We start from the raw sequence: 22,638 nt of genomic DNA, 5'->3' as shown, positions 1-22,638 counted from the left end.
AGAGAAGCCTCTCCGGCTGTCTGGCCGCTGGACAGTGGTCAAACACCACCCCCACTCCTCACCCCCTAGCTTGCTCTAAGTCACTTTTTAAAAATCACATTACTCTGTATTTAATTTATTCATAGCTCTTAGCACCATCTGAACCTATTTATTCTTCCTCACTGGAATATACATTCCATAAATAGAGGAACCTTGTCTGTCTTGCTCTTCTCTGGCTCCAGGACTCAGAACTAGGTGCTTCAACACCTCATAGGCATTCAACAAAAATCTGATGAATGAATGAGGAGCCAGCCAGACATCGGGGCTGTAAGTAAAGGTTTCTCTTCCGAGGCTGGGTAACGGAGGTCCCATGACTTGAATACCTATTAGTTAAATGGCCAGTTCTTTAATGGTTTCAAACCGTTTTCAGATAACCCCACAAAAACCCTGTGTGGTATTTTTATAAGCTCTATTTTATAGAGAAAGAAACTGAGACTCAGTAAACTTATATGACTTGCCCAAGGTCACTCAGCAAGTGCTTGAACTCAGGATTTGAACCACATCTGCCAGACCCCCAAGCCACCTGAAACTTTCTATCTCCTCACTTTTCCTCCCACCAGGGTAAGTGGGATAAAAAAGACAGATTTGGTGACCAAACTCTAGAATGACAACACTAAACAATACAGAAGAAACGTTAAGTATTATTTCACTTCCCCATCAGTGGTAATTATGGATCTCATTATTCCAGAAGCAGCACAGGCTAAATCATAGAGGTTTAGATAAATCTGAGTATAACGGATTCACTAAGCCCTATTAAAAACATTTGCAGCGACTTGTTCAGCCCTCTTCAGGTTGGCTGTGTGGAGGACAACCATCACCTCCCAGTGCCAAGGCACACACCAGGACAGCAAAGCTCACGCTCATAAAACGAGGTTAGAGTTGTGAAAGCACTTCAGGAACATATTAGTTCTTAACGTGTTCATTTTCTTCAGTCCCCAATTATCACTCATTACCGAGTACAGACTATTGTTGTGGGCTCAGTTGTGTCCTCCCCACATTGATCTTGGACATCCCAAGCCTCTGGGACTGTGAGAAAACACATTTCTGTGTCTAAGCCACCCAGTTTATGGTATTTTGTCACGGCAGCCGGGGCTGACCAAGACAACTATGTGGCAGGTACTACCTACCGTATGGCCCTAAAATGTTTTAACTTCACACACCTGGAAAGCACCACAGCCCCAAGAGAAAAGCTTTTCCGCACTGCTGTTAAGCCAGGGCCACACACTGCAGTGCTGCGGTGCTCCACCAGCTGGAGGATGGCCTGGCCCATAATACCCGCATTCCCACCTTGCTCTGGCCCTGTGTCCCCTCCAACGTGCATCCTGAGCTCGCAACCTGTGTGGAACCCAACCAGCTGCTTATCAACATTTAAGTCCACTTTTATGACACTTCCGTCAACAATCTGGTCAACTGCACTCATCCCTGGCCTCCGTACTGTACCCTGCTCCGCCTCGATTCCCGCCCCGGGGGAAGCTAGACTCACGCAGCTAACTTTATCGGCTCTGGGCTCTGATCGCCAAGTTTAGGATCCCAGCTGTATCCTTGCTAAAGTTAGTATCGCTGGGGCTCAGTTTCTGTAAGAGACAGGTGGGTTACAAGCGCTCACTCACTGTTGCAGTGTCTTATCTACGTAACATAATCCATGAAAAGCTCAACACAGCTAGGCCAAATCTAAGACCCAGACACGCGGCTGCTGTTAATGCCGACTCCTGCGCACCGCGCCGTTCCACCGCAGGCACAACCTTCCTAGGCCGGCCCCGTCCCCACACAGGGGTTCCCGCTTGTCAATCACGCTGGCCCGGCCCTCCACTTCCGGAATGTTTTTCCGCTCCGGACGGGCCACCCACCTTTGCAAACAGGGGTCCGGTGCCGGAACAGACGCCCAGTTTGCGATTTCACCAGTCTGCCCTTCCTCGTCCCGCTGTTCCTCGTCCTAAGGACCTCTGCTGCCACACAGCACTGCGCTCACCTTCTTCGCCGGCAGAATTGCTACGCTGAAAGCCAGGCCCCGGGAATCAGGGCAAACGCCACTGAATTTGAAACTGGCGGGTGGCCTCAGTGAAAGGCTGCCGGAACAACCCCCGCCGCTGCGCATGCGCACTCCGGGACGCGCGCTAACACGCAACAGCCAGAATCTATTTTATAATTAACCCAGCAATATTTTCTCAAGAAATAATAATAAACTAGAAGAATGTAAATGAGAACCGCATTCTTTCTTACATTAAGTGACATTTTTAATGATTATACAGAATATATGTGTGTGTGTGTGTGTGTGTGTGTGTGTGTGTATTCATCTATGTCACTAACAAAAGAGAAAGAAGGCCCTGTGATCTGCTGATAAAACTATATAATTGACTCTGTTATGTGATTGCTTGTACAAAGACTGACTTCACATCATCTGAAGTTATTCTTAAGTCATTCTCCTTGAAATATTATTGCTTCATTCTATATTAAATATATGCATACAATTCAATTTATCCATTCATCTTTTTATATACTTTTAAGAAAGAAAAAGCAAGTGTTGTTTCTCATGGGCACATAATTCTTTTCATTTATTTATTCAACAAATAATTATTGAATGCTTGTTATTAGTGGATATACTTCTGAATAATAAGAAACAGTGAAAAACAAGACATCTCTGCCTTATATTCCAGAGAGGAGAGACAGGCAATAAACAAGAAATATAAGTAAGTTCATTTTATAACATGTCATAAAATGACAAATGTTATTTTTAAAAAGGCACAGCAAGGGAGATCAAGAGTATCATAAGATTGGGGTTAGACTTTGCAGTTTTAAATGCTGTGATCAGGGTAGACCTCATTGAGAAGCTGATAGATGAGCAAAGGTTTAAGGCAGTAAGGAAGTTAGCTATCAGAACATATACAGAAGAACAATACAACAGAAGATAATAAAAGGTGTGAAGGCTTCAAGTCAAGTAGAAAGATTCTCAACTGCCAAAGAAAAGCAAGGAGTTTAGTATGGCTGAGGAGGTGAAGGTAGGAGACCCATCAGGTTGGGGTTGTGGTAACTGGGGATCCCAGTGTTTGCATGTACAAGTATGGGACATTTCATTCTCCTGAGCAAAACTTCCATTGGTGATTCACTAAGAGCAAGAAAGAAGACTAGTCTGGATGACTTAGAATGAACACACCAGTGTTTCTGTAAATAGAATTATATGATTTGTAATGTGTTTGTGTATACGTGTTTGTGTGTGTGTATGTGGAATCTTTTGCTCAGTTCTATATTCATGGGATTCATTGACACTGATGCAGTTAACATTATTCTATTTCATTGAAAAACACTATAAAGTTTTAATTGTATGAATATGCCACAATTTACATATCCTGTTGTGGGACATTTGAGTTGTTTTCAATTTAGAGCTATTACAAATAATGCAACCGCAAATGTTCTTATACGTGACTTTTTGCACATTTGCTGTCACTCTCCTGGGTATTTATGTAGCGGTAAAAATTGCTGGGACAGAGGCTCTGTGGATGATGAATTCTAGTAGATAATGATGATTCATTTTCACAATTGGATGAGAGATTCGGTTGCTCCACATCCTCACTAAAACTTGGCATTATGAATCTTAACTTTAACCATTTTGGAGGATATGTAGAGATTTCATTGTGGTATTAATTTGCATTTCTCTGGAGACCAAGTACCTTTTCATATATTTATTAGCTATTTGGATGTTTTGTGTAAGGTGCTAGGTCTTTTTCTAATTTATTTCTGGAAGTCTTCAATATATTCTGGGTATAAGCACTTGTCAATTATATATACAGAAAATATCTTTTTCTTCTCTGTGACTTTTCCTTTCACTCTCCTAATAATGTTTTTAATGAATAAAAATTTTAATTCTAATATAAAAAGCAAGACTGGGCTGGTAGAAGATTATTTTCCACTAGGGCAGTTTCTAATAATATGTATAGAAGGAAGCGCCATTGCAGTATTGACTAAAGCAGGCTGGTGGAATTACAGCTCAGTTGACAAGCCCACTGGCCTGATCTCTGAATATTAATATAGTGTCATATTAAGTGTGAGTCTTTCTAATAAGACAAAAAGCACATTCATCATGTTCTTTTTATCATTTGTTCTACGTCTCAGTATCCATGCAGGGAAATACTTGAAGGATGGAAACGTAGTCTGTAATCTCCTGATTTTTCCAGCCTGTTCTCTGCCAGCCCAAGTATTCACAAGGATAGAAAACGTACAGGATTATTCAGCATATTAACATGGTAGATAAATTTTACAACCAATAATCCTGCTTTTTTTGTTTATGAAAAGTATTGCTATTCACATCCCTTATGTGCTAATACATGCATTAATTTCATTCCACATATGCCAATGATTCCAGCTCTGCCTCCCCCAATGTATACTCAAGTGGCAAGGATACTTTCGGTCTCAACCCACCCAAAGTTGCTCAATGCTTCGTAAACACATTTCTCTTTGAAAATAAAGTTGGTTTAGAAATATGTCCAAAGGTAATAATGTCTTTTGTAGAGTTCCTTTGAAAAGTAGCTTTATTTTGGATCATTTGAAAAATCTGTTATACAATTAATGTATCAAAACTATTCTCAATTACAAAGTCAACTTTTTTCACATATATCTCTTCTCTTCTAGTCCCTATATTTAATGCTACAATTACAGTCGTAACTTACCTTTGTCTTGTCTTTTTCATGAAAGTTTTTGTTGTTGTGATGACATCTCCAGGTTTATCGCTTTTGATAAACATATACTATTTGTTAGGGCGCTATGACATTTATCTTTGACTTTGACATTTGGCTAAAATCTTTTAGTTACAGTCAGCTTTGCCCTCAGTTTATGTCAGTGTCATTTCTGGGATCCTTGAAATTATGAATGATCAATAATCTTACGATTGTTGTAAGCAATGTTATAAAACCACTGTCATCATGCTGTAATATAATCAAGGCATAACTTATGAGTTGATTTTAATATACATTTTCTCTTTCAGTTATAATATGTATTTTAGATGTATCTTGGAGTGAAAAACGCCTTGCTTGTCTCTTACAAAAAGATAAATCAAAATATTAATATTTGCACAAATTCTCTTTTGCACAAACTCTCTTAATCAAGGCATCATAAGCCCATTGTAGGTATCATATACCCATCTGTCTTAAAACAATTTCTGGTATAAGAAAAACATGATGTTAGAAATTGATTCTTTTGGCCTGTTCTGAAATTTTCAGTACTCATACATATTGTAGAGGTGACAGAAATGATTACAATTCACATTTAAAATTCCCCTCTTCCCTTTTCCAACTCTTGTCAATGTTGTATTCCCCCTGAGAGTTCCATAAGAATAAAGCAGAAAGCATGGAAAGAAATACCAAAGTAGGGTTGTCTTACTTCATCTAGGTAACAAATATTCAGCACAACTCTTCATCTTAGAATTGCAAAGTGGGAGAGTCATCCCGGGAATATATATTAGTGAGTTTATTGAAATTAAAAATAATGCAACATTTTTTTCTGTTAGAAATAAGTCCAGTTTGACTGGTTATTTTGACAATAAGGACTGGCTTTGCAAATCAGGTTACTGGTGGAGACTTCCTTTAAATGAAATGAGCTAAATGTGCAGGTTATGGTTCTGATCAGATAAAAGCCTTTTATGAGGCTTTATATTGACAAAGTATATTAAAATAAATGATATTTCAAAATTTCCAAACTTTCTGAGTATATTTGGTAAAAGTTGTGTTTTTAAGTAAGAAAGTAATGATTGGTGGCCGTTTATAAGTCCTTTTAAGCCTTTATTGAATACTTTCTAGGAACCGAGAATAAGAATGATCATAATGGCTGATTTCCAAATCCTGTTGCAATTGACCTGGTTTAGCACTTTGCTTTCAATAAAATTACAGAGGACTTATCAGCTGATAGATAATTAAAAGTAATTTTTAATGGTTATAATGTGACCTTTGGCTTTTAACATGGAAGCCTAAATAATTAGATAACATTGTTATAATAGAACGTCCCCTATTTCTATTTCTCTCTTTATGTGAACAGGTTTCCTTAGTGCTTACATCTATACAATAGAAAACAGAATAGCAATATTCTAGAATTGAAATAGAGCAGGGTAGAACAAATAGAGAATAGATGAAACTTGTTTTAATCCAGCAATAAGCAATATTCATCCAAGAATACACAATCTTAGGGAGCCAGCTGGAATACATGATTTATTTCACTAAAAAATTATTTTTGAACAAAATGTTCTCATTTTTAATATCTATTAAGATTATAGCAGATATATAATTTTATAAATAGTATATTGATAATAATTTTAATGATAATGCAACCTAGAAAACATTTATTACTAATTAGAACTTTACAGGCTCAAGAATATTTTTATAATAATCTTTGATGATCTTTAGTTGCAGAAACATATAATAGGGCGATCAATAAAATATATTGAAGTATGCAACTCCAGGATAAAATTACCTGAGGAAGTAGAATGAAAATATAAGACCAAAAAGAAACAAGAGTGATATAAAATTTCCTGCTGGTGAAAAAAGTGTTCATGTGTGTTTTACAGGAACGGTGGTGGCCAAAAAAAATCACTGCAGTGTCTACATTTCATCGGATACATTTAAAAAGTGGTATTACATTTTATTTTTTAAACATCAGTATTATACTACACTTATTTTAGTGTAGACACTTTAGATGTCAAGTGTATGTAAGATATTACATGTTTAATAAAATTCTTTTAAGGAATACAAGGAAAATGTTTGAAGATCCCAAGAGTATAGAAGCCTTAGCTGACAGTGCTGAGAAAGTATTGTGTTTACCCTATAATGTCAAATGTTTCAAATGTATCAACTAAAATATTTTAATTAAAAATTAAAATGATAAAATTCTGATAATTCTTGAGATTTATTCTTCTATTCCAGAAGTTCAAACTGTGATGACAATTTTTGCTTCATACGTACAAAAAAGGATTTTATGTTTAGTCATTCAGCATTTGGTCAAATACAGGTTTGGTACGTATCTAAAAAGTATGATCATGCCTGGAAAAAGTGATATAGAGACCTCTTAAAAGTCATTTACTGCTTATTATAGGTTAATTTATCCCATATTAAACTGATAGAGAATAAGCACGTTTATGGTAATCTAGGGGTGAGGGTGGGATGTGGGAAGAGCTGGGAAGATGAGTGGAAGTAAGAGAGCATACAAATGGAGCCAAAATAAAGCAGAAGAGTTTTACAATTACCCAAGCAAGCATTTGTCGACTACAAGGGCCAACACAATGTATTACTACAGTTTATTCCATTTGACTTGGCATTTTTTTTAGCCATAGTTTATCATCATTGGAATTTTAATAGCTTACATATCTACAGTTTTGCAGTCCACCAAGGGTTGTCACATACATCATCTTTACTTCTCCATCACTCTTTCAGGTCATATAGAAAAGTGTATGTCAAGATCTGCCTAGCCCCAATTTAGAAAGGAACACAGTAAAATATTCCCCGTTCTCAGAAGTGCCTATTTCTCTTCACATCTTATTTTATAGTTGAAATCAGTTCTTTATTCAAAATATCCAGACTTCAATTTTATAAGGCCCTAGTTTTATTAATTTAACAATGGGACCTTTCTTATTTTCAGTGTTCCATAAAAATAAATTCTAACATCTGAATCCCCTTTGGAAAGCAAATAGGATGATGCATCACTGTTGATAAAATATTTTCTATCACTCAGGATAAAATTAAATAAGAATGTTCATCAGAGAGAGATCATTTTCTTAGAGAATAAAATAAATTAACTGAATTTATATTCTAGATGTTGAATGAATTAAGAAACAGTAATTATATATTACATATGTTGTTATACCCAATGAACTGCCCTTTTTAAAATAGTAAATATAAGAATACTTATACAGATCAAAAGTGAATCTTTCAAGCAATGGAGAGGTTGCTCCCAAACTTGTCTTATTTAAAATTCTATGACAGATTTCACTTCCTTGTTTCACTGAAGAGCCAGTTAGGATGAATCTTGGGTGAAGAATGTATGTTGTGCTCCCTAGACTACCAAAACATATTTGGGATATGGATTTACATTAATACCTCTTTTTAAAACTGCAAGAATATTGGTTTATTTCATCAAACCATGTAATTTGTTTTGTGTTTTCATGAAAATAGTTTTAAAACTGATTAATGACCTGAGCTAGTGGTAGCCTCAAACTACTATTTTTCAGGAATTTAGAAAATTTGGGAAAGTGGATAAATTAATACATATGGTCATGAAAATGATCTGGAATTGATTTTTTTATGCTGGAAGTAGTTAATATGTTACAAAAATAAATGATTGGCAGTTTACTTTCACTGCCCATCAGATGAAATAAAAACCAGTGAGTTGGAGCAAGAACAGGGTTAAAAGAATCGAGGGCTCAGGCTCCCATTCTGCCCTCTTCCTTTCTGTACCGTGATGGGAAATCAACTGCCCCCGCCAGTCTTGATCCTGCTTTTCCTGCTCCTTCCCAGTGATGCTGCAGCTGCTGCAGAACCATAAGCATTATTTCCAGAAAATTAAATTGTCCTCCTTTTTTCCCGTTCTATTATCTCTTTGATCTGTATTTCCTAATTCCCTACACAATTTTCTGCTGTCAAAAGGGCCAGGAAGTATCAGCAAGTCATTACTACTCATGTGGAAAGAGACATCCTCCAATTTCAGGAAAGTCACAGACATAAGGCAGCAACATCTATGAAACATTTACCAAAAAAGAATATAGAATTCCTACCCAAAAAGGGATACATTTTTTTATTGATTCATAAAATGGATTGCACGTCGTGACAATTGTGAAATGACTCAGTATCTGTGTTTTCCTCAAATAAGGGATTGCCAAGATGAATGTATGCTCTACAGACAAGCCAGGATTTGTGTGTCAGTTCACTCAATCCTTTGGCACACCTTTAGGAGCTGGCATTGGGTCTTGGGAATCTACAGATTAGCAAAATTCAGACGCCGCCCTCAACACCTCACAGTATGGAAAAGTAGAGAGATGGTGCACAGAGAATGAACTATAGAAGAAAAACAGAAGCAGGCATTGCAGGATTCTGTCAGAATACTTCCAAAGAATGACCACTCTTCATGAGGCCTGATGTAAGAGAGAGGGCTTCACCAAATTCTGCACAGAGAAAGTCACTTTTGAGATATGTGTTATGAAGCAAACAGAAGTTTTCTGGGTAGACAGGGACACTCAGGAAGAGAGAGAAGAGTGTGTACACGTACAGCATCCCCAGATGTAGTGTGTCTGGGTGCTTGTGAGAGGCAATTGGTGAGAGGAGAGTGGTATTTTCCTCTGGGTGTATATGGCAATATGTCTGGTGATTAGCCTGGCTCAGCTTGCCTCGTCTCCATCACCAAAGAGCTAAAGAAAGAAAAGAAAAGAAAAGAAAAGAAAAGAAAAGAAAAGAGCTAAAGAAAGAAAAGGCCCTGCTCCCAAGGTCATACTGAAAAGCAATTCAGCTTCTCCCCATGTATTAAATGTTATATTTTTCCTAGTTTCCTGGAACAAAGAGATCTGTAGTATCATCCATGCAAAACCCAAGACCGCATGCAGAGAGGTTCTTAATGCTTTCAATGATGATTTGTTGATTGATTTGCATATTGAAATTATGAAATTTTTATCCAAAATATATAATAACTCATGGATTGCTTACCCATGGCTATTGACAGCTTTGCTAATATTATGTGGGTGAGTACTTCACAACAGAAGAGAAGCATATCTGGGGTTTAACTTCTGGTTTTCTCAGTTCCTCAGATCTTTTGGGTTGGCCTTTGGAGAATACACTCCTGCTAAAATCTGTCTCTGTTCTATGATTGGTGACAAAAGCAAAGATTATTTAGAAAATGGCCATAATAATGATGTCTTTTTGACCCCTCCATAGTTAATCTGGACTTCTCCCCTCCACAGGTAGTACCTAGTGCTGGTCCCATCACACCTCTACACTGGAGTTCCTGAAAAGACCTGTGTCATCCTTAATCACCTGAATGAGATGGTGGCACTGAAAGTAACTCTGATGTACAAAATGCAGAAGAGATCCCTCCTCACAGACCTGGTGACGAAGAGGAACTATTTCTACTGCAGTTCCTTCATGGTCAGTACTGATCCTTGAAATAAGGGAGCTGGATAGAGAAAGAGCACATTAGCTGATACCTTTGGTTCTAATCCTTTGAAAATAAAAAATGCATAATGAAAGAAAAATAAGAAGTACAGAGTGAATCTCAATTTAGATTTTAAGAATGGAAGTTCTACTGAATATGCTCACAGCTTACATGATATTTACAAACAGAGTGCCATGCATAAAATTTAACAGTAGTTATAGAAAGGATTTAATCTGATCTTAAACTTCTGAGGTAAATAATATTCATACCATTACAGATAGAAACACTGAGATTTATAAAGTCAAATAACTTATCTAAGATCTCACCAATGGTTGATAGTGGATGTATTGTCCTTTTAATCTTTTACTACTTAAGGTATTAATTGTTTAATCATATGTAGTTACCACAAATAATAACATAAAATTTTTTTTGAGACAGGGTCTCTTTCTGGCACCCAGGCTGGAGTGCAGTGGTGCCATCACGGCTCACTGCAGCCTTGACCTCCCAGGCTCAGGTGATCCTCCCACCTCAGCCTCCTGAGTAACTGGGACTATAGATAGGCACCACCATGCCTGGATGATTTTTTGATTTTCTGTAGAGGTGGGGGTCTCACTATGGTTCCCAGGCTGGTCTTGAACTCCTGGGCTCAAGCAATCTGCCCACCTTGGCCTCCCGAAGTGCTGGGACTATAGGCATGAGCCACCGTGCCTGGCCAGATAATATATAATGTTGTTGACCTTTGAAAAATAAAATTTAATAATTATTTTAATATCACCATTTTGCTGTGAAAATGCAAGCATCCCATTTCAGTCATAACTGGCTTGAAGAATTAGCTCATTTTATTGCAATATTTTCTCCTTCAATCATGTTACTGTCATGTTACAACATCATAATAATCTACTTTTAAGACAAGGAGCATTATCCTTGACTTTGTCCCTTACTAATTCTCAGGGACTAACCAGGAAGACAGAAACTCCTAATGGCTGAGAAATTCAGAAGTAAGTCTGGGCAGATTCTTCAGCTCATTTCTGTTTTACAGATTCCAGAATTACCATCTTCCTGGGTGGTCATTGCTGTGGAGGTAGAGGGGGCAACTCTGCATTTCACAAAGAGCAAATCAATATATATAACTACAGCAGAGAACCTAGTCTTTGTCCAGACAGACAAACCCATATACAAACCAGGACAAACAGGTATGAGGAATCAAATGAGCAAGGGGAACTTTGGGAGAGGGGAGGAGCTTCTTTATTACTTTATTCTGCAATCCTGGGAATTCAGGCATGCTATTACTACCCCAGGCTCCACGGGGTGATTTCACAGGAAAATACCTCTGTTTCAGTGAAATTCCGTGTTGTCTCTATGGATGTCAATTTCCACCCTTTGGATGAAATGGTGAGTCTCGTAATGATGGGTGATGGCTGAGGGAAAAAGGAAGGCCTATTCTTTTGGGAAACTTGAGACCAGTTAAAGAGGTATTTTAAGCCCACCACATGAAGATCTCATAAGGGTATCTCTGCTAGAAGAATAAGGGATGTCAGAATCAAGGCACTCCATAAACTGCATTCTTAAAATGAATTCAGTATGCAGTTGAAGCTGTCCTCTTAAAGATTCCAGTTACTTTCATTGAATAAATGTGTGAATTTGATTTCCCTCTTAAACAAATATAATCTGTGAAATAATAATAAACTTATTATTCGGACCTTTTTATCTAAATAGGTTTCCTCAATTGTATGTTATTTAACAATAGGAAAGTCATGACTTCGTGAAAGATGTATGTCCCAAACTAAACATACAAAGTGCTGTGAACCAAATGGGGTATTTCCTCATTTGGAATATAGAGACTTACTTTCTCTGGCCCATATACTCTGTCAGTGCTGGTGTCATGGTTTTCTCCTTCTATATTCTACCATGTGCTCATACTATCTTTTTTTCTTTTCAGTTTCCGGTGGTTTATATTGAGGTAAGTGGTATGTTGTACATTACAACTGGAATGAGGACTCTCTACAAGTTACATTAAATTGCCTCTCTCCCTTCCCTCACCATTTCACCAAAGCTAAACAAATACTGTTTTTCTGTCCACTTTAAATTCTAAGTGGATAACATGTAAATGCAGGAACATTTCTTGAGATGATGCAATTTAGTGACTCATCCAATATTTCTGACCAAAATAAATATACATAATACCAAAAAGAGGCATCAGTACGAAATGTTATCTGTAATATCTCATAGCTAGTAAACTTATTGCCCTTATCTCAGGTTGGAATTCCTATAAAACTTTGCTAATACCTTTGGGCCAATTTACCAACCATCTGTGATACAGCTGCCTATGTCGTTCTTACCCGCAAAGCTGCCCTTCTACTCAAAGGTATATATTTCAATTGTTTCTATGAACTCATAATATTTTTACCTATAGGACCCCAGGAAGAACCAAATTTTCCAAAGGCAAAGTCTCAAATTGCAAGGGGGACTCAACCAACTCTCTTTCCCGCTATCAGTGGAGCCCATTCTGGGTTCCCACAAGATCATGCTGCAGAGAGAGTCAGGGAAGAAAATACAGCACTCATTTGAGATGAATGAATATGGTAAGAATGCTCTATGTGTAAGGCATTTATAACGTCAGAGTATTTAAGATTAGATAATTTTTACATATAGGTAAGAATCAAAGGTCTAGCATACAATAGTTGAAAATTAGCAAGCTTTTAAATTTACCCATATATTTGCTAAGTGCTTTTTATGTACTACCTCATTTAATTCTCACAATGCCCCTCTGGGACAGATACTATTATTATTCCCATTTTGCAAATGAGCATATCAGTACTGGAAAAGTTAGTAACTTAAAAAAATCACAGAGTCATTAAGGGGTAGGAAAGATTTGAATTGATACTCAAACATAAATTGTTAACCAATACATTGTGTCAGCTACATACACTATGTATGTTTTTTATATTTTATAACTGAAAGTATTTCCAGGGATTATTTTATGGTTGTCTATAACCTACACCTATACTACTCTAATCAACTATGATTCCTAAACCATATAATTTAGTAATCAACTAAACTATAGTTCAACTAAGTATGGTAGTCAACTAAACTTTAACACAATTGATCTAGTCAGTACTCAACCATAGTTGATTACTAAGTCAGACATTGAAGCCATCTTATTAGTTATCAGTTATGTGGATTTTGTAATGTAAATTAAATATTTTATGCCATGGCTGAGAAGTCCTATCACAAAACATGGTTCCCAAAACTCGTCAGAACTGCCATCAAAATCACAGAATAGTATTATATTGTAGGAATAACACCTTACAAAACTGTGAGAGAAGCTAGAAAAGTAAGAGGCCATCAGGAGGAGTTGACAGGTGAGAGAAAATTACTAGCCAGTTCTGAAGCATGATTAGGGGTGTATAAATGTGAGCTTGCAAAGGTCTGGGAAGCGAGGGACCCTCAGCTGCCCAAGTGCACCAACCATGCAGAGGAGCTGACAGAAGAATCTGTGGAAGATTATTACCTCTGCACTCTGCATAGCTACCACTTTAGTAGGCTTATAGCCAGGTGTCAGATGATGGGCCTCAGACCTCTGTTAGTCAGCAGGGCTGGCATTTGGGAAGAAGAGCTGGGCCTAGGGAGGGAAAGAATAAGAATACATTGAAACCTATTGGTCCCTCTTTACCACATCTAACTGTGATGATCTTCAGGGACTAATCATGCTGCCTTCCCTCTATCTGGGAAATCTGGCACAAATTCAGAGAAAGAGAGTCTAGGGAATGTATTATCAAGTTAACCAAGTGAACATAGTACAAACTGCTCATGGTAATGAATGGCTTCTCCTTCTCAGTATTGTCCCTGGGCTCCCTGTTGTAGCTGAAGTCATTTCATGTGACCACATGTTAAAGGTTCTGTCATAGCATCTACTACCAATACTTGTAAGATCTCTGGCCCACTCTCACCTTTTTTTTTCTTTTTTATCAAAACAGTTTTGCCTAAATTTGAGGTCCAAGTAAAAATGCCCAAGGTTATTGGTTTTCTAGATGAAGAATTTGTGATAACAACCTGTGCCTTGTGAGTTGCATTTTTTTCATCTCATTTCTATTTCTGTACTCTATCTGAGGGGAGGTATTGTAAATAACAGTTACTGAAGTTGGAAGTGTTTTAATTAGGAGAGGAATACCTCTCTTTGTAGCTTGCCTAAGCTCACAGTAGGGAGCAGGTACAGTAGCAGATGACACACATCTGCTAATCATAAAATCATTTACTGGACATTTAAAATGGGCCAGACAATGTTCTAATTGGCTTGTGTGTACTAATATTTTTATTCTGTAAGTAATCCTATAAAAAGGAGAAGCTTGGGGAACTGACCCTACACCTTATCTGCCCCATCATTTGGGCTAAAGCAATAGGTTTCAAACGTCAGTGTTCAACAGAATCTATGGGGTGGGGAGTGTGCTTACTTCAAATGCAGATTCTCTGGCCCCATGTCCAAAGATTCCAATCATACATCTGAGGAAAGTCTCAGAAATCTGCATGTCAACATGTATCCCAGATCGTTTCAATGCTGGTGGTCCACAAAACACGTTTTGAGAGACAACAAATTAGTTATGGCTTTGTGTCATTTCCTTCTATCATATTAGGCAGAATCAAACTGAGTCATGATACAACATTTTTGTTTTATAGCTACTACTTTTCCATCTAACTTCACATTTATTTTCTTAAAGTACCTATAAATCAAGGAGAACTCAGAAATACACTCTCTACATAGTCTTAATATGTTGCCCTAAGACAATGTAGGAGGTGTTGTCAAAGCTGGAATCATGACCTAGATAATCTGACAGCAGAGAAAGAGGGAAATAGGACCATCTTATAGTAAAACCGCAACTAAGAGGGAAGAAAGATCTGAGAAAAACTAAATTGGTAATTTTCCATTTGGAGCTGTTTCAAAAAGATTCTTCCAGTACTTTTTCTGAGAGTTATGGACAATTAAGACACGGCCTTTCAGAAGAAGGGTTTATAAAATGGAAATAATATGGAAGGTAATACAACAGCTTAAGGTGGATGTATGAAAGGATCAAGTCAGTTGAAGAAACATCAGTATTATTTCCATTAAGTAGCTTTTCGCATGGCCACCTTATTGTTATAGGTACACATATGGAGAGCCTGTCCCTGGTCTGGTGACACTTAGTGTATGCAGAAGATATTCACTATGCCGTTCCGACTGCCACAACACACATTCACAAAGTATCTGTGAAGAATTCAATCAACAGGTATGTGGAAACCACTCTCCTCAGGACACTAATACCAAGGTTTTCTCTTCTCATGGATTACAATAGTGAATACAATACAACAGAGAATAGTGTTTGAAATACCCATCAAGCAAAATGGTGGAGTGGGGGAAAATTGTAAGATGGTCTGGCAGTGTTGGGGGCTCACTTGAGGGTTGGGCTCGTGGGTATCTAGTGGTATTTATCTGGTTAGTTTGGTAATGTCCTTCCAACGGCAATCCAAATGCCAGATATAAGGGCATAAAAGGATGTGGAAGGATCCAGAGTTGTCTTTTATCAAACAGAAAACAGAAAAATGTGTGTGGCAGGTGTTAAGAATTTGGCTAGTGGGAGAATCAAATGGAATGTCGTGGAAAGTAAACTGCGCTGGAGGAATGTTAAACCAGTATAAGGCTGAAGGAAGGAAGGCTTCCAAGGACAATGGATTAGATGCCCAAAACACGTCAAGGAAGAAGTGGAATAAGAATAATTAAGGGGAACAGCTGAAAGTAGAATGTGATGTATTAAAAAATAAAAGGCAAAAATTACTGATTCCAGAGGCAGAGTATGTAAAAAGTCCAGGGTGTGGCAGTATGAGCAGACCCTGTAAGGGTGACGCAGGGCAGGTAAGCTCCCAAATGGGGTTTTAGCCCAAGAGGGTTCTTTTCTTCACCCAGGAAAGAATTCAAGGGCAAGCCAGAGGTGTTAGAGACAGCAACGTTTATTGAAGCAGCAGCGTACAGCAGCAGCAGAGGTACTGTTCCTTGCAGAGCAGGGCTACCCCATAAGCAGTGTGCCCATAGTAGCAGCTCAAAGGGAGTACTGCAGTCATATTTACACCCATTTTAGTTACATGGAAATTAAGAGGCAGATTATGCAGAAATTTCCAGGAAAAAGTGGTAACTTCTGGGTTGTCAGGCCATTGCCATGGAAAGAGGCATTAACTTCGGGTGTCGCCACGGCAATGGTAAACTGACATGGCACACTGGTAGGCACGTCTAATGGAAAGCAGCCACCCTGCATCCCTGTTTTAGTAAGTTCTCAATTTGGTCCGGTGTCTGAGACCTGCTTCCAAAGTTGAGTCCCACCTCTTACCTCAAGGGTATGGAAAAGAAAGTTATCAAAGCTGCAGAGAGCAAATGAATGAGAGGCCAGAGTAACGAATATAATAATGAACACCAAGGCAGACACTGACAAGCAAGATACTATAAGAGGAATCTAGCTGCCCAAATCTGTAATGTATCAGGGAGACTAGTATTAACTTCTGTTTTCAAGTGAGTCATGACATACATCTATATAAAAATAAATTAATATGATTAAATTTATTATGCAATAAAGATTTTCTTATAAATAAATTTAAAATGAAAACAAATCTTTATTAAAACATGTACCCCAACATTTAGTTTGAAAACTTGGTTATGGTGAGGATTCATCTATTTAATAAATGTATATATTCCTATTAATATCCTAGATATTGAGAATATACAGTTAAGAACATAACAATCCTGGCTGGGTGCAGTGGCTTACACCTGTAATCCCAGCACTTTGAGAGGCTGAGGTGAGAAAATCGCTTGAGCCCAGGAGTTTGAGACCAACCTGTGCAATATAGTGAGACCCCTGCCCCTATAAAAAATAAAATATCAGCCAGGTGTGGTGGCACATACCTGTCGTCCCAACCACTCGGGAGGCTGAGGTAGGAGGATCACTTGAGCCCAGGAGGTTGAGGCTGCAGTGAGCCATGATCATGGCCACTGCACTCTAGCCTGGGTGACAGAGTGAGACTCTGACTCAAAAAAAGAAAAAAAAACAAAACAAAACATAGCAATCCTTAGTCAATATTTATAGGAATGAAAGCCTTCTCAGAATATGTTATGTCTGAGTTAAGTTTTGAGGAGCCTAACTGTTGGCTACGGTAAGAATGGGAAAAAGAGAATTATCATTTGAGGAACAACACATGCATAGAGATAGAATTATGAAATACCATGGCACGTTTGGAAACTCTAGAAAGTTGAATATGGCAGAAATGGAATCAGTTTTCAGAAGAGAGGGGAGAAGCCAAAGGTTGATAATGAATAAATCAATGATGAACGAAGAAACTTTATGTCATTCTTGGGCTTGGGAAAAGATAAGCACCAAAAGAATGGTCAGAACATTTGTTACATTTATTTTTATGGCCAGTAAAAAAATTCTCATAAATTGACAGCTGACTTTTTAAGTAGCAAATTGGAAGACCTGAGAATTCTCTTTCTTTCTCTTCAGGCAGACACTGAAGGATGTTTCACACAACTTGTAAACACTAAAATATTTCAGCTGAGACAAAAAGAGTATGACATGACGATACATGTCAAAGCGAAGGTCAAAGAGGAGGGAACCGGTTTGTATTATTTTTAAATATTTATTAATGTGATACATATTTATCAAACTTCCATTCCATGTAAAACACTTTATAGTTTCTGGAGATTATGAAAATAACACGGTCCCTGCCCTCAAGGAATTAGGCACCTAAAAATAGAAATTAAGTGTGTGTGTGCACATAGCCATAATAAAATTTCTGCAAGAAATACAAAAAAGGGCCAAGTGAGTATGAAGAGAGGTAATTAATTCTAGTATACCTTCTAGAGCCCAAAGAAAACCTTATTGCTAAAATAGCATTTCAACTGATTTATATAGGGTAGGTAATACTTTGAAAGATTAATGATGGAAAGGGAAAACGTGATAAGCATCAAAAACTATGATCTCAGAAGAATCTGAAAATGGAGGCTGGTGCTAAGCTGTGGAGAAAAGTAAATCATACACTAAAGAGTTTAAATTTATTCTGAAAAGCTTGGATATCTTTCAATATATTTGAGAAGAATCGTCTAAATAAATTGATATTCTTAAAAGGTAAGTCTAGCAGACCTGAAGAGGATAGGCTAGATGAAAAAATGTGCTACCATGTGGTACGTCAGACGATTAGTCAAAGGTGACCCCAAAGATTCCAAATTTGGGGCCTGGGAAATGGAAATACCATTAACCAAGATAATGAGTCAATGAAAAAGAACTGTTATGATGAGATGTGTTAAAAATAATTTTTTTTTTTTGAGATGGAGTTTCGCTCCTTGCCCAGGCTAGAGTGTAATAACTCGATGTCGGCTCACTGCAACCTCCACCTCCCAGGTTCAAGTGATTCTCCTGCCTCAGCCTCCTGAGTAGCTGGGATTACAGGCATGCGCCACCACGCCCGGCTAATTTTGTACTTTTAGTAGAGACAGGGTTTCTCCATGTTGGTCAGGCTGGTCTCAAACTCCCGACCTCAAGTGATCCGCCCGCCTTGGCCTTCCAAAGTGCTGGGATTACAGGTGTGAGCCACCGCGCCAGGCCAATGTTAAAGATAACTACAGCTTGGAATATCAAAACGGAAGTGGATGTATTTAGCTGATAATTTTAAAACAGAGCCAGAGTTAAATTAGGACCAGAAATGTAAATCTAAATCCATTCTCGTTGTGTCTATGTCCTCTTAAGAGTGAGTGCGGCCGGGCGCGGTGGCTCACGCCTGTAATCCCAGCACTTTGGGAGGCCAAGGCGGACGGATCACGAGGTCAGGAGATCGAGACCATCCTGGCAAAACACGGTGAAACCCCGTCTCTACTAAAAATACAACAAAATTAGCCGGGCGTGGTGGCGGGCGCCTGTAGTCCCAGCTACTCGGGAGGCTGAGGCAGGAGAATGGCGTGAACCCGGGAGGCGGAGCTTGCAGTGAGCGGAGATCGCGCCACTGCACTCCAGCCTGGGCGACAGAGTGAGACTCCGTCCCAAAAAAAAAAAAAAAAAAAAATAGTGAGTGCAAATGCTCTGAAAGTGAGCTCATTTAGCACTGCTAAATTTAGGATAGAGACAGGACAAAGAGGCGTCCAAGGACAGAAACAACTGCATTTAGGAGATAGACAGTAACAAATAAATCAGCATAATTAAATAAGAAGCCAGAGAGCTGGGGCAAAAACAACGAGGATAATTTTTTAGAAGCCCCTGGAAGGAAGAGTTTCAGTGGTACTTAGTGTGGAGTACTACCGAGAGTTCATGTACAATGAAGTCTGAGATGAGAATTCGATATGGAGGGCAAGTAGGGAATCTTTTAAGAATTTGATAGCACTGTGTTTTTGATAAGAACAAGATACAGAGTACACATCATTGAATGGAAAAGCACCAGGTGTTCACTATCCTTTGGATAGCTCACGCAGGGAAACGACAGGTCTTTCTGGAAATAAAGTTTGTATTAGAAATTCAAGCATATTTTGGGCCAGTGTGATTGTGAAGAATCCAACCATGTACAGAAAGTTGTGGAGGGAGAGCAGGGATGTGAGAGAGGGAAAAACAAAGATGGAGCAAGATCACAGAGGAGTTGAGAAAATAAAGAACATAGGTGGAAAACCAGAGGAATGAGGGATGATGGATACCAATAATGTTTCATGTGAAGGTGAAGCTAATGTCCAGTTGCTGGTCAAATAGCTTGTAAATGTGGGAAACTGGCAAGAATAAAGAAAAGAGAATGTGGATGGTATTTTGTTATGATGAAGTGAGGCTGAGGAGGAAGTAGGAGGTGAGTTTTTAATACATAGAATGGTTCAACTTCATTTATTTTTCAGGATTGGAATTAACTGGGCATGGATCATATGAAATCACAGATACCTTAAGGATACTGAGATTTACTAAAGTAGATTCACATTACAGAAGTGGACTCCCCTGGTATGGACAGGTAAAAAAAAATGTTTTTAACATAATCACAATTTGGGGCATGAGGTTTTTAAGAAAATGAAGTTTTAAATCACAAAATCAAAATTTATTTAAAAAAATAATATTTCAAATAGGAAAAAAGTACAGCAGATTATAATTTAAAAAGCAAATATAATCACAAAATCCAGAAAAACAAAGCATGTTTTATTAACTTCCTAACACACCTCTGTAATACATTTGTGTAGTTCAGCTGCATACTCTTTGATTGTCTCTTTATAAACAATGATTTTGTAACATAATTTTTATAGGAAGAATTCAAACACATTCTTTCATCTAGATGATTGAATTTTTTATTACTGGTAGTTTTTAAAGTTGTTTTCCATTTCAAAGTTTCATATAGATACCAATATTGATACATTTTAGAGCCAATAATTTAGTAAACTATCCATTTTCTTTCATATAAGAGATGCAAGATTTCTAGGTATTTTAAATTATATTTTGTAGTAAATAATCTTTGAATTAACAGTTCATGGGCAAATGCTTCAAGCTGTATTTTGAATTTTATATTTGATATTTTATACTTGAATTTTACATTTTCTTCATTTATCCTAGTATTTCATATTAAATTATCAAGAAATTAATAACTATATAGATATAGTTTCATATGGCCATTTCAGGTAGAGAGAAGATCATGAGAAAAACTGATGACTTGAAAGGTGAGTATGACATGGTCAGAAATGTAAGATAAAAGGGAGAATGTCTAAGGCTCTGGGTATGAAACAGTTTTTCAAGAGCAAAGAACTAAAAAGCAGCCAGTGTGATGACAGCTAAGGTTAAAGACATGACCGAATTCACTGAATAATTGCAGGCAAGCAAGAACAGTTATTAAGGTCTTTTAAGATATGGTAAGAATTTTGGATTGAGAAGTGACTAATGGTTTTAAGAAAGAGAGTAACATGATCAGGTTAGCTCAGGATGTATAGAATGGTTTAGACAAGAATGAAGCAGCAAGGAAATGCAGAAGATTAAATAGCTACTGGAAACCAGATGGGAAAAAATGTGATTTTAACTAGAATGGTAGCAGCAGATTTGGAGAGAAGCAGATAGAATCAATATATATTTGATGGGAGATGGGGAGAGGAGATAGCACTTGACAATGAGTTTGAGATAAGCAGTGAAAGAAAATGACTCATTAAAAAAAACCCAATTCCTCAGTATTCCTGCGTCAGTTACCTGATAGATGGAAGACCCATATACTGAAAGAGAGAACAGTGGAAGTGGAGAAAGTTTGGGAAGGTAGTGTGATGATCCCACTTTTGGATGTTCTCAATTTGAGTCCCCATGAGATATCCAAATAGAACTATTCAAGATTTTGAGATGTATTGCATAACAGGATAATTATAGTCAGTAATAATATATTGTACATTTCAAAATAATAAATTATAAATGTCTCATCTGAAAAAGTGGTAAGTGACGTGATATATATGTTAGTATATTTAATCATTCCACGTTGTATACATATATCAAAACATCACATTGTACCCAGGAAATGTATATAATTATGATTTGTGAATTTAGAATAATAATGGAAAATAAACTGCCATTTAGCTTTCAAAATAATTTTTAAAAAGAAGTATTAAAAAGAAAAATCATAGTTTAGAGCTCAGAAAACAAGTCTCGTTTTCAGATTCTAAGATCTTCAGTAAATGACAGGGAGTGACCTGGCGGTAAATGTGACGGAGTGGAAGATGTTATTGCCATATGACAATTTAACCAGCTATGACTTTTATATCTCTAGGTTCTTCTAGTCAATGAAAACCATCAGCCAATCACCAACAAAACTGTAGATGTTCATGTGAATACTAGATACTATTTCAGTGCAACTACTGATGAGCATGGTTTGGTGAACATTTCCATGGACACCACCAACTACATATCACCTTTTCTCACAGTTTCAGTAAGTGGAAAGGGGCATCTGGGACCAAAAATAGAGAAATTACTGTGGCCAGAGATAATTTAAAGATATTTGAGAGGCATGTGAACTCTAGGAATTAAAAAAAAAGTGATAAAGAGTAAAATGTAGGCCGGGCACAGTGGCTCATGCCTGTAATCCAAGCACTTTGGGAGGCCGAGGTGGGTGGATCACGAGGTCAGGAGATGGAGACCATCCTGGCTAATGCGGTGAAACCCGTCTCTACTAAAAATACAAAAAAATTAGCCGGGCGTGGTGGCGGGCGCCTGTAGTCCCAGCTACTCCAGAGGCTGAGGTAGGAGAATGGCATGAACCCGGGAGGTGGAGCTTGCAGTGAGCCGAGATCGCGCCACTGCACTCCAGCCTGGGAGGCAGAGCAAGACTCCATCTCAAAAAATAAAATAAAATAAAATAAAAGAGTAAAATGTAAATTAAGCAATATGGAGACCTAAATTATAAAAAGAGAAAAGTCTGCCAGAAATCTTTTACTTGTAGGTAAACTCTGTTGACAATATGATTTAGGTTCAAGAGACATTGAATAGATCA

The 22,638-nt window shown here is 37.7% G+C and overlaps 1 long non-coding RNA gene and 1 pseudogene across 2 annotated transcripts in view, besides 1 other annotated feature; one reads left to right on the top strand and one right to left on the bottom strand.

Moving 5' to 3' along the window:
- The window catches only part of LOC642846 (DEAD/H (Asp-Glu-Ala-Asp/His) box polypeptide 11-like), a 30,432-nt gene extending 28,306 nt beyond the window's left edge, over nt 1–2,126 (bottom strand). The window contains exon 1 of the long non-coding RNA NR_024374.1: nt 1,887–2,126. This is a non-coding gene — a long non-coding RNA (DEAD/H (Asp-Glu-Ala-Asp/His) box polypeptide 11-like). The remainder of the gene's footprint in view (nt 1–1,886) is intronic.
- Nucleotides 1,680–2,528: an enhancer, noted in NCBI's record as "H3K27ac hESC enhancer chr12:9435851-9436699 (GRCh37/hg19 assembly coordinates)". NCBI's record gives its function as "activates a minimal SCP1, AML or CMV promoter by ChIP-STARR-seq in primed H9 embryonic stem cells {active_cell/tissue: H9 hESC(primed)}" and the evidence as "EXISTENCE:reporter gene assay evidence [ECO:0000049][PMID:30033119]".
- A2MP1 (alpha-2-macroglobulin pseudogene 1) overlaps nt 11,435–22,638 on the top strand; it is a 45,821-nt pseudogene continuing 34,617 nt past the window's right edge. Inside the window, exons 1-8 of the transcript NR_199634.1 lie at nt 11,435–11,544; nt 12,092–12,112; nt 12,566–12,734; nt 14,130–14,214; nt 15,290–15,413; nt 17,670–17,784; nt 20,033–20,142; nt 21,919–22,077. The product of NR_199634.1 is annotated as an alpha-2-macroglobulin pseudogene 1, transcript variant 2 (transcript). The remainder of the gene's footprint in view (nt 11,545–12,091; nt 12,113–12,565; nt 12,735–14,129; nt 14,215–15,289; nt 15,414–17,669; nt 17,785–20,032; nt 20,143–21,918; nt 22,078–22,638) is intronic.

Source organism: Homo sapiens, chromosome 12 (genome assembly GCF_000001405.40).
Source record: "Homo sapiens chromosome 12, GRCh38.p14 Primary Assembly".
NCBI lineage: Eukaryota > Metazoa > Chordata > Mammalia > Primates > Hominidae > Homo > Homo sapiens.
Note: the sequence above shows the minus strand (reverse complement) of the source record. Positions and strands in the feature narration are given on the sequence as shown.